Source organism: Homo sapiens (assembly GCF_000001405.40).
Source record: "Homo sapiens chromosome 16 unlocalized genomic scaffold, GRCh38.p14 Primary Assembly HSCHR16_RANDOM_CTG1".
Classification (NCBI taxonomy): Eukaryota; Metazoa; Chordata; class Mammalia; order Primates; family Hominidae; genus Homo; species Homo sapiens.
In genome coordinates, this window is record NT_187383.1 from 1,417,514 (window position 1) to 1,430,238 (window position 12,725).

General features: G+C 46.3%; 1 long non-coding RNA gene and 1 pseudogene across 1 annotated transcript; one reads left to right on the forward strand and one right to left on the reverse strand.

The window, feature by feature from the left end:
- Window positions 1–261: 261 nt before the first annotated feature.
- On the reverse strand, window positions 262–2,790 carry LOC102723841 (uncharacterized). Its single transcript, XR_430586.4, has 4 exons — window positions 2,589–2,790; window positions 1,938–2,075; window positions 1,355–1,470; window positions 262–347 (listed from the first exon to the last, which is right to left on the reverse strand). It is a non-coding gene; the product is annotated as an uncharacterized LOC102723841 (long non-coding RNA).
- Window positions 2,791–2,937: 147 nt separating this feature from the next.
- LOC647211 (rhophilin-2-like) overlaps window positions 2,938–12,725 on the forward strand; it is a 51,164-nt pseudogene continuing 41,376 nt past the window's right edge.

Consider the following 12,725-nt stretch of genomic DNA (forward strand, 5'->3'; position numbering starts at 1 on the left):
GATCACTTGAACCCGGGGGGCAGAGGTTGCAGTGAGCTGAGATTGTGCCACTGCACTCCAGCCAGGGAGACAGAATGAGAACCTGTCTCAAAAAAGGAAAAAAAAAACAGGTTGTAACCCATCTGCCAAGATACTCCCCCAATACATTAAAACAATTAAACAGATTCAACAAAGTAAATATGTTTCTGTCCTCTGTCTCATGTCTCTCATGCAGCAGGGCTTCCCATGTATTTTATGCTAGCAGGCACTGTCCCACACCCACCTGAAACCATGGTGTCTTAAGGCTTCTTCTGTCGTAAAACATGCCTTTGGATCCACTACCAACAACTTCTTGACAAGGTCCAGAGCTAAAGCAACAATTGGGCAAATCACAGTGAAAAGTATAAATATATTATCAGTAACAGTATGCCAGAATTAACAGGTCACCATCCAGAAAGAGCAGAGAGGGTCTGAGATCATCAGGGAGTCAGCAGACAGGGCCCCTTAATCTTCCTCATTCTCTGTATTCAGAGTACTGTGAGAAGACCAGGAATGACAATGACACTCCCTGTCTCCTGCTGCTGGGACATCAGTCACTACCTCTTCGTTGCCTGTTCCCTCTCTTGTTGCTAGACTCGAGGTCAAACTAATTAAAGCTAAACTTCTACCCAATTCTAAGATAACTGGGATGCACAGCAAACTCTCCCTGACATCTACAGATGGATGGGTGACAGTTACTCAGCCAGGGAGAGGCTCCCTGGAACTGCAGACTTGTCAGAAATAAAACTTGACTACTCCAGCAAGCAACAAATGCACGCTGGCCTGTATATTACAACATTATTATTCCTTAAATATTCTGACATTTAACACAATCACCTATGTTATGTTATTTGACATTTAATTTTCTACTTTCTCTTCAGGGAACTAAAGTTGCCAGGATAAATTATAAAATATAAGGTAACTAAAGACATCTAGTTTTTACACGCTTGCTTACTCAAAGGAAACCTTGTAACTAAAAAGTTACAAGTGCATTTATTTTGCTCATTAAAATAGGTACCAGGCACTTGTGTACATTATCCCTAACCCTCAAAAACCTTTTAAGGTAGGGATTATTGAGGGTCCCTTTACACAGAAAGAAATTGGAGACAGAGGTTAAATAACTTGCCTAAGGCCACACAGCTAAGTAGTAGCAGACCCAGGACCTGAGTGCATGCTCTTAATAATTTCCAGTGCCTCTCAAATGGTGTGAAACTAACGATAGAAAATAAGAACAGAATTGACAGGAGAAAACACCATGGAATTTGGAGAGAAACTCCCACCACAGGACACACACATTTTAGAATACCACAAATTCTTAACCCTTTCATATTCATACCTTTCTCTGAGATTTCTGCCCAGACTTTAGGAATGAAGTTGTGTTTTCCACTGGTGATCTGATCCTTCAGTGACACTTGAGTCCTATGCTCAGAGAAAGGTGGATACCCACTAAGGCTTAATAATGGTAGAGAGAGAAAGGAAAAGAAATCAAGTGGCATTCTCAGTGGCATTCAGATATAAAGATTTCTTTTTCAGCATAATGAAAAGTCTGATTTTTCTTTAAATCAATGGTCAAAAAGTGAGCTAGGCTGGGCACAATGGCTCATGCTTGTAATCCCAGTACTTTGGGAGGCCGAGGGAAGAGGATCACTTGAGCCCAGGAGTTCAAGACCAGCCTGGGCAACATGGCAAAACCCCATCACTACAAAAAATAGAAAAATTAGCTGGGCATGGTGGTGTGCGCATGTAGTCCCAGCTACTCGGGAGGCTGAGGTGGGAGGATCACTTGACCCAGGAGGCAGAGGCTACAGTTAGCCAAGATCAAGCCACTGCATGCCAGCCTGGACAACAGAGCAAGACACATTTGTGACTTCATCTAATCACCTCCTACCAGTCTGTGAAGCAATGAAAATATTTCTTACCAGATAAAAAGAATAACTCCTAAAACCCAGCAGTCCAACACAAACAAGAACTTCAGGAGCCAAGCAGGTGGGGGTTCCACATAAGGTTCTCACGAGAGAGGTCTCTCCCAAAATCTTGGAGTGCCCAAAATCAGTAATCTAAAATTCAGTACAAAAGGGAATAATGTTGAACTTGTCATAAAATAAAAAGATTAACATAGTCTGCCAGTCCAAGAAGGCACGTAGGCTAGATCAGTTTCTATTGTACAATTCACACCTGCCATTAATCTGGAATCTACAGATTCATGTCTTTGCAAGTTAAGACATTTAACTTTGCTTAAATTAAAATTCCTGAGCCTAGGAATCTCAACACTCAGGCTTTCCAACTTAACCTATGTCCTCTGTAATCTTACAAAAAGCTTATTACCTTTATCACAGACACTTCAGGATTCTAATTAGTTCTACATGTTTCTTAGACCCCACTGTCTCAAACATGGCTGCGCTATGGAATACCTGTGGAGCTTGGAAAAACATGCTTATACCTGAGTGCCACTCTCAGCTTCTGAGGTAAAGCCTGGGTATCATAAATCCTAACAAGAGATTCTAAAGTGATGCCAGGCTTGATAAACAGGGAAAGGCAGGGCATGTGATTACACTCATTCATTCATTCACCTATTCTGCTCAAAGGGAGACAGTGTCCCCAAGGTCTGTGCTGAGGAGAAAGCTGCTCTGCCTTCGAGGTGTACCCCGGGTCTGTGCTGAGCAGAACGCAGCTCCGCCCTCGCGGTGCCCCCGGCCCGCCCGCCCGGGTCTGTGCTGAGGAAAACACTGCTCCGCCTTCGCTGTATCTCCGAAGTCTGTGCAGAGGAGAACTCAGCTCGCCCTCACGATGCAATCTGGGTCTGTGCTGAGGAGAGCGCAGCTCCGCCCTCGCAAAGGCGCACAGCGCGGGCGCAGGCGCAGAGAGGCGCACATTTTATGAATAGCAAATCAATTTCTCCCTGTTCCTCTTACATCGAGGCTGGACACACGTTTACAGGGGATCAGTGTGAAGGGAAGCTGGTGAGGCTGCCTGAGAAGCCCCCTGCCTGCGTCTCCCAGTGGACTCCTTGGGAGCGCCCCCTCCCCTGCTCTGCCCAACAGCGCCTGAACTGTGGCCACTTGCACTCCTGTTGCCTACCCAGTGGCTTGAACTCCAGAACTTGCCACCCTTCAGTGGAATTCCTGGAGGAGTGAGGAGCTCTGTGCTATGCTTGGCCACCGAACATGGGCCATCTCTCCTATTATGGTTTGAAATGTACCGTAGTGTCTTGTTTGGTAATTGTATAATAATATGGGGAGACTGTGCGGGTGTCTGCTAGCTTGTCTGCTGGTTCTTACTCATGGTGCCTTCTTCCCTTTCAGACTTGGATATCTTTGTGTGCTTCTTGGGGCCCTTGGAAGGGTGTCTGTGGGGTTTCCGTGAGGCCAAAGACAGAGGTTCCTTCTCACGAGGATGGTGTTTGCTTTCACATGGACAGCCCAGACCACCTGGAACCAAGTGCACAGAAGCCCCACCATCCCCGGGCCTCCCAGTTGTGATGGGTGAGCGGTCCAAGTCCGCAGGAGGCCAGAGGCTCTTTGTGGTTGAATCTGTGAGTTTCCTTTCCTTTTTCCCTCCCACTCCTTTTAATGCTAATGAATTCCTTGTTTGGGGGCAGGGGCCAGGGTTATCTCTTCTTCTGTCTTCACCCAAGGTGAGGCCTTTCAGGCTCCCAGCTTGATATGGGGGTGAATCCCCTATCAGCCTCCTCATACCTTGACCTCTGTCTACCCCCCTACTCCCTCCAAGGTCGAAGCCCAACTTGCCAGGTTGGCAAATGCTCACAGGCAACAATGGCCCCAGCGCTCCTCCCTAGGTTCTTGATTTTCCCCTGAAACTTGGCCTGGAGGTTTCCTACTAGCTTAGCAGCCCTTTGATGCTTTTAACGTAATTTTGTTATTATTTTATCCAAAATTCTTGCTTGTTTTAAGAGGGAAAGCAGGTCGGCCATTACTGCACAGAGAATCTGGGACAGTTATTATAACCATAGAAATTTATTTTCCATGTGCTGTCCCATCTTCTTGATGAGACAGATGTTTAACAGCTGGAGAACTGGACCCCGTATTTGTCCCCATCTTGCCTAGCAACAGAAGGTAGTCACTAATCAGGGATTTTCGAGCCCATTGCTTAAGGCCTTCATTGACCCAAAGGATAGTGGGTCCCTGCTCCTCTTCCTGCGGAGAGGCCCAGGTGCCCAGAGGGCCCTCCTGGCTTGGCTGCCTACAGAGTGGCTGATGAAGTGTCCGCTGTGCGCACAGGACACCCAGCCCCACTCCTCCCCAGGCAGCCCCTCAAACAGCTGTTGCTCTGCCTGCTTCGGCTGTGGACCTGAGGCTGAGAGGCTGAGCCATCGCCCTGAGCCGCATGCAGGGGAGTGGCAGGCCTGGACCCAGTGCCCAGACCTGGCTCACCTGACCTTACTTTTTCCACTGTGCCTGCTTCTCCCTCCCAGGCTCTGTGACCTTGGGCAGCCATGGCCATCCTGTGCCCATTCCCAGCTGTAAAATGAGAGGCTGGGCTGGCTGATCTCAAATGTCCCCTGCCAGCCTGAGATTCTGTGTTGTGTCCTGGGGTGTGACTGTGACATGCCACCAAAGGCAGCTGCCAGTGCTCATGAGGGAGGCCTTTTTCCTGAGTTAAGGCAGGTGGGGGGACTGGGGGTGAGTTGAGGGACTGGGAGGTGGGGGAAGCACACAGACAGTCCTCCCCAGCTGAGCGCTCATGGTGAATTACCTTCAGTCCCAGGCTCAGTGCTTTGGAAATGCTCTCAGGCCCAGCACCCAGGCCTGGAACCAGCCTCCAGGCCCCTGGCCCTCCCTTTCTCTACTGGAATCTTCCAGACCGAGGCAGGTCAGCTGAAAGTCACCGACTCTGCCTTCCACAAACTCATAGCTGACAGACCATTCCATGTCCCCTCCCAGCCCCGTCCCAGGAGCGGAACTCACTTTGCCTTCCCACCCTCCAGGCCGACTCACTGTCCGTCACTCTCTGGGTCCCACCCACTGTCCCACCGACTTCATTGGTCTAAAAATATGCTCTGGCATCTTGTTGGAAAGCAGCAGGAATGATGGGCCCTGCTGATAAGGTGAAGAAAGTGACCCGAGGGGGCAAACTTACGGACGGGACATACTTTGGCAAAATAACAAAACAGCGGGACCTGAAGGCTGGCTTCCCAAGCGTCCTCAAGGCCTTGTGCCAGGAACAGGACCCTCGGGCTTAGGAAAGTGAAAACCAGGCTCAGGTCCCTCACCCAGACCCTTCTGCCCGCTTTGGGAGGGAGCCCAAGAAGTCAGCTAGGGAGGGACCTCCCGGTGGGACCTGAGTCCTGATTGGAACTTTCTGGGGGCTTTCTTGGCATTTTACGTGTGTTGTCACAACTCCTTGATGGGAGAATTAAGCATGGTCTGTGGGATTCCACTGGGAGAGGACCCCTAAAAGCCTGGGCCGGGCCTCCTCCCAATTTCACCCCATATGCCTTTCCCTTTGCTCATTATGCTTTGTGTCTTTTGCTGTAGTAAACCGTAGCCATGACTTTTGCAAGTCCTCCTAGATTAACACTGAACTTGGGGGTGGTTTTAGGGACCCTGACGTACCTATGGATGTCAACTTGCTTTAGCACTATTTGTTGAAACAATAATCTTTTCCACATTGAATTGATTTGGCACTTTTGTTCAAAATCAATTGTAAAGATTTGCTACATGAATGTAAACATTTATTCCTGGACTCTTTTGTTGTTTTTTTCATGAGATGGAGTCTCGCTCTATCACCCAGGCTGGAGTGCAGTGGTGCAATCTCAGCTCACTGCAAGCTCCGCCTCCTGGATTCACACCATTCTCCTGCCTCAGCCTCCTGAGTAGCTGGGACTACAGGTGCCCACCACCACACCCGCCACCACGCTCTACTAAAAATACAATTTTTTTTTTTGTATTTTTAGTAGAGACGGGGTTTCACCATGTCAGCCCGGATGGTCTCGATCTCCTGACCTCGTGATCCATCCGTCTTGGCCTCCCAAAGTCCTGGGATTACAGGCATGAGCTACCACACCTGGCCTATTCCTGGACTCTTATTCTGTTTAATTGCCTATTTTTATGTCAGTACCATGCTATCTTGATGACTATGGCTTCTTAGTAAGTTTATTTTTTATTTTTTATTCTTTTTGGGGATGGAGTTTCTCTCTTGTTGCCCAGGCTGGAGTGCAGTGGTGTGATCTTGGCTCACTGCAACCTCTGCCTTCCAGGTTCAAGTGATTCTCCTGCATCAGGCTCGCGAGTAGCTGGGATTATATGCGTCTGCCACCACACCTGGCTAATTTTTTTGTATTTTTAGTAGAGATGGGGTTTCACTGTGTTGACTAGGCTGGTCTCGAACTCCTGACCTCAGGTGATCTACCCGCCTCAGCCTCCCAAAGTGCTAGGATTACAGACATGAGCCACCATGCCCAGCCCAGCTTCTTAGTAAATTTTAAAATCAATATGTTTTCCAACTCTGTTCTTATTTTTCAAAATTATTTTGCCTATTGTAGGTTTTTTTTTTGCATTTCCATTCAGCTTGCCGAGTTTTATTAAAAAGGTTACTGGGATTTTGATTGAGGTTGCATTGAATGAATGTACCAACTAAGGAGGCTTGACATCTTGACAATAATGAGCCTTCCCATCCGTAAACATGGAATAGCTCTTCTTTTAATATATCTCAGCATTGTTTTGTAGTTTTCAGTTTACATGTCTTGTGATTCTTTTGTTTATTCCTGAGTATTTTATTCTTTTTGATGCTATTGTGAATGGAATGGTTTTCTCAGTTTCAAGATTGTTCAGTGCTATTATATAGAAATTGAATTGGCCAGGCACAGTGGCTCATGCCTGTAATCTCAGCACTTTGGGAGGCTGAGGCAGGAAGATTGCTTGAGCCCAGGATTTCTGGGCCAGCCTGGGCAACATAGTGAGACTCCATCTCTACAAAAAAAATACAAAAATCAGCCAGCGTGGTGGTGTGCACCTGTAGTTCCAGCTCCTTGGGAGGCTGAGGCTGGAGGATGGCTTCAGCCTGGGAAGTTGAGGCTGTAGTAAGCCATAATGGTGGCATTGCACTCCAGCCTAGGTGACAGAGTGATACCCTGTCTAGAGAAAAAAAAAAAAGAATTGATTTTTGTATATTGATTATACCCTGTGACCTTGCTAAATTTATTAGTACTAATATTTATTTTATGGATGCCTTAGGATTTTCTATATATAAGATAATGCCATCTGTAAATAAAGACAGTTTTATTTTTTCCTTTCTAATCTGGATGCCTTTAATTTCTTTATTTGCCTCATTGATTAGAAATAGCAAAAGTGGGCATCTTTGCCTTGTTTGTGGTGAGAAGAGGAAAGCAGTCATTCACCACAAAGTGTGATGTTAACTGTGGGTTTTTATAGGTGTCTTTTATCAGATTTCATAAATTCTCTTTTATTTCTACTTTGTTGAGAATTTTTATTATGAATCTGTGATGGATTTTGTCATATAGTTTTTCCAATATCTGTTGAAGTCACCATGTGTTTTTTGTCCTTTATTCTGTTAATATAATATATTATATTGATTTTCAGATGTTAAACCTACCTTGCATTCCTGGGATAAATCCCACTTAGTTATGGTGTATAATCCTATTTATATGTTGCTAGGCTTGGGTTGCTAATACTAGTTTACAGAATGAATTGGGAAGCATTACCTCTCCCTTCATTTTCTCATTCATTTATTTTATTTTACTATCATATATATATATATATATAATTTCATATTATCTTATTTTAGTTTTTAGAGACAGTGTCTTGCCCTGTCACCCAGGCTGGATTGCGGTGGTGTGATCATAGTTCACTGCAGTATCAACCTCCTGGACTCAAGCGATCCTCCTGCCTGGGACTATAGGCATGCACCACCATGCCCAGCTAATCATCCATTTCTTTCTTTTTTTAAAACAAATTTTATGTTTATTTATTTATTTATTTGGATTTCTCCTACCGAAAGGAATCATTCTTTTTTTTTTTTTTTTTTTTTTGAGAGGGAGCCTTGCTCTGTTGCCCAGGCTGGAGTGCAGTGGCACAATCTCAGCTCACTGCAACCCCTATCTCCCAGGTTCAAGCCTCAGCCTTCTGCATAGCTGGGACTACAAGCGTGCGCCACCACACCCAGCTAGTTTTTGTGTTTTTTATTAGAGACAGAGTTTCACTATATGTTGGCTAGGCTGGTCTCGAACTCCTGACCTCAGCTGATCCACCTGCTTCGGCCTCCCAAAGTGCTGGGATTACAGATGTGAACCACCACGCCTGACCCGAATCATTCATTTCTTTTCAAGTGGATATCTTACGGTATTTTAGGGCATGGCTAGGAGCAGTTTTGTTTTCTCTTCTCAAGACAGAGTTTTTGTAGGATGTCATAGAGTTCATGTCTGCAGCTCACAGTGTCATTGCCTGTGTCCCCAGCTCCACGTACTGGCAGGTGTGCTGCAAGCTGGGCAGGTGCTCTGTGTCCGTGGGATACCTTACCCGACACTCCCGGCCCTCCTCTGCAAGCCGTGCCCTGATCCTCCCTGCAGGGACTGGGGATTGGGTCTGCTCACCCAGAAGCTGGGATACCTGGCTGAGGGCACTTCTCTCCCTCTTCTCTTTGAACAGAGTGGCCGCAAACCCAAAGGTGCGGGAGCAAGTGCGGCTGGAGCTGAGCTTCGTCAACTCAGACCTGCAGATGCTCAAGGAAGAGCTGGAGGGGCTGAACATCTCAGTGGGCGTCTATCAGAACACAGAGTAAGTGGGAGCAGCACACCTTCCAGAAGCCTCTGAGCCAGAGATCCTTCATACATCCAGGGTATGAAGAGGTACCTGGGTACGAACCCTATCTGCACAGAGGCTAGATAGGGTTCTAGACTGGGGTGTGGCAGCCCCAACTTTGGGAAGTGAGAGAACCATCAGCTTTGGGGTTGAGTGAGGTGCTAGACTGGAAGGGATGAGCCCATTTGTTGGGAAATATCTGCAGTGTTGAACAAAAAGGCATTTGTGAGGCCGGGCACAGTGGCTCACTCCCATAATCCCAACACTTTGGGAGGCTGAGGCATGTGGATCACCTGAGGTCAGGAGTTCGAGACCAGTCTGGCCAACATGGTGAAACCCCGTCTCTACTAAAAATAAAAAAAATAGCCGGACATGGTGGTGCACACTTGTAATCCTGGCTTCTCAGAGGCTGAGACAGAATTGCTTGAACCCGGGAGCTGGACATTTCAGTGAGCCGAGATCACACTACTGTACTCCAGCCCGGCTGACAGAGCAAGACTCTGTCTCAAAACAGACAAACAGACAAAAAAAAAAAAAAAACAAATGAAGACAGTATAAAATCTAGTGTAAATATATGTGATGAACCAAGATAAGTTTAAAAGTTAGATGCCTTGGATTTTATAGTTAATTTTCAGTAATTCCGCATAGTCACATTTCATAGACATGCAAACATTAGCAAGATATGTTATTAAATTCAACTGAACAGACATTGAGCAAGGATATTTTAGTGAGTCACCATAATTTTCCTAAGGACATTGTTAGGACAATACCTTTCCAATGTTGGCTAATTATTTTCTCATTTATTTGCCAAGGAACAAAAAGCATACGCAAATACTTCGGGATTAAGGCCAAAGGCCAAAATTGACCCTGTAAGGGGAGGCCACTATGCACACACAGAGATTCTGTGCACTGTACTTACGTTGGACTGCAGTCTGTTTCCTAGCTGGAGGTGACAAACTGAAACAGAAAAATCCAAATTAAAACAAAGTAACACACCAGTCTCCTTTTAAGGTTGTATTTCTTTTTTTTTTTTTTTTTTTTTTTTTGACACAGAGTCTCCCTCTCTCACCCAGGTTGGAGTGCAGTGGCGAGATCTCAGCTCACTGCAATCTCCACCTCCTGGGTTCAAGCGAATCTTGTGCCTCAGCCACCTGAGTAGCTGGGATTGCAGGTGTGCACCATCACACTTGGCTAATTATTATTATTATTATTATTATTTTTGTAGAGACAGGGTTTCATCATGTTGCCCAGGCTGGTCTTGAACTCCTGGTCTCAAGTAATCTGCCCGCCTTGGCCTCCCAAAGTGCTGGGATTACAGATGTGAGCCACTGTGCCTGGCTCCTAGGTCAATTTTGAAGGCACTTTATCATATCATTCTCCATAACTCAATTTTGGAATCGATTTCTGCAAGGTGAAAGCCAACAACACCATCCCTCAGAATTGCAATACATCTCCAAAAATGGAGATCTAACTATGAAAGAAATGCCCCTCTTGCCTCATGCCTGTAATCCCAGCTCCTCAGGAGGCTGAGGTGGGGGATCGCTTGAGCCCAGGAGTTCAAGGCCAGCCTGGGCAACTTAGTGAAACCCCATCTCTACAAAAAATAGGAAAATTAGCCGGGCATGGTGGTGCACACCTGTAGTCCCAGCTACTCAGAAGGCTGAGGTGGGAAGATCACTTGAGCCAGGGAGGTCGAGACTGCAGTAATGGCAACAGAAAGAAGTCCTGTCTCAAAAAACACAAAAACAAAACCAAACCCTAAGTGAAATGCTTCTTTTTAAGGAGAAATAACTTTGAGACAGTTCAAAGAAGGGTTTACGTGCTTTTTCAGTGTGGGCATGAGACTTCTCAAAAAGTAGGTGGGCCCCAGGGGAAACTCAGTTGGAAAATAGCTCCCTGGATTTGGAAACCTTGAGTCACCTATGGAATGTGTGTTTCCTGGTGCTGGTCCTCCACAGGGCACCGGGGTGGTTTCAGAGCTGGAGGGGAAGCGTCAGAAGTGTCTGTCATGGATATGCTTTGAAATTTAAAACTTACATCCTCTTTTATTAATAGCGTATTTTTTTCTTAAATCATGTATCCAGTTTAGGTTATGTCTTTGGAAGAATAGCTAAAGTTTTTTCTCTAACATTTTATTATGAAAATTTCCAAACTTTTCAAAAAATTTTAAGAATTTTCTAGCAAACCCCTGTGTACTCACTTCTTCCAAGAACATACTATCAGCATTGCTTCCTGACATATTTGTCCATCTGTGTATTCTTGTGTCTGTTAGGTTGGTTTGAAGGTAATTGCAGTTTTTGCCATTGAAAGTAATGGCTAAAGGCTGGGCACAGTGGCTCATGCCTGTAATCACAGCACTTTGGGAAGCTGAAGCAGGCAGATCACTTGAGCTCAGGAGTTGAAGACCAGGCTGGCTAAAATGGTAAAACCCCTGTCTCTACCAAACGTACAGAAATTAGCTGGACGTGGTGGTGCACACCTGTAATCCCAGTTACTGGAGAGGCTGAGGCAGGTGAATCATTCGAACCTGGGAGGTAGAGGTGGAGGTTGCAGGGAGCCAAGATCATGCATGCCACTGCCCTCCAGCCTGGGTGACAGAGTGAGATCCCATCTCAAAAAAAAAAAAAAATTAACTGGGCATAGTGGCATTTGCCTGTAATCCCAGTTACTCAAGAGGCTGAGGCATGAGAGAGGCGCTTGAACCCAGGAGGCAGAGGATGCAGTGAGCTGAGATTGTGCCACTGCACTCCAGCCTGGGCAACAGTGAAACTGTCTCAAAAAAAAAAAAAAGAGAATGAAATTAATGGCTAATATCAGTCTGTCTTATTTGTGATGCAATTTCAAAGGAAATCAAAGATGTCAATTCACTCCCATTAAATATTTGAATAACCAGAGTCTTTGCTTGTGTGTCCCCCTGCCACATTCCTGGGTATCTGGACTCCTCTCCCATTTGGCAGATCCTCATAAGCCCACCTGTGCCTGGCACTGTGCTGGGTGCCAGAGGTGCCACAAGCCCTGCCTGCGGGGCCCTTGGGTCAGTGGGGGATTCAAGTGGGAAGTGGAAGGGGTGCTTCAATGGAGAACACAGGAGAGACCATGCCCCAATGCTGGGGCTGGGAGACCATCCTGTGCCTGGAATACCCTCCTCTTCCTTCCCTCTTCAACTCCATCAATTTGAGTTTTTAACCAGTCGCCTCCAAATTCCATCAAGGAGGGGAAAGGGGATGAGGTGCAGGGTGGCCCAAGTTTGCATCATGCAGCCCAGGCATTGGTTATAGGAATTAATCCTAGCATCACGAAAATTGCTTCGAAGAAATATTTTATGTTCTTTTTTTTTCTTTTTCTTTATTATTTTGAGACAGAGTCTCACTGTTTCACCCAGGCTGGCATGCAGTGGCATGATCTTGGCTCACTGCAACCCCTGCCTCCTGGGCTCAGTTGATCCTTCCACTTCAGCCTCCTGAGTAGCTGGTAATACAGACATGTGCCACCGTGCCTGGCTAATTGTTGCATTTTTCTTTCTTTTTTATTGAGATGGAGTTTAGCTCTTGTTGCCCAGGCTGGAGTGCAATGGCATGATCTCGGCTCACCGCAACCTCCACCTCCTGGGTTCAAGCGATTCTCCTGCCTCAGCCTTCCGAGTAGCTGGGACTACAGGCACGTGCCACCATGCCTGGCTAATTATGTATTTTTAATAGAGACGAGGTTTCTCCATGTTGGTCAGGTGGGTCTCGAACTCCTGACCACAGGTGATCCACCTGCCTTGGCCTTCCAAAGTGCTGGGATTATAGGCATAAGCCACCAAGCCCGGCCAATTTTTGTATTTTTCGTAGAGACAGAGTTTCCCACTGTTGCCCAGGCTGGTCTCAAACTCCTGGGTTCAAGCAGCCCTCCTGCCTCAGCCTCCCAAAGTGCTGGGATTATAGGCAT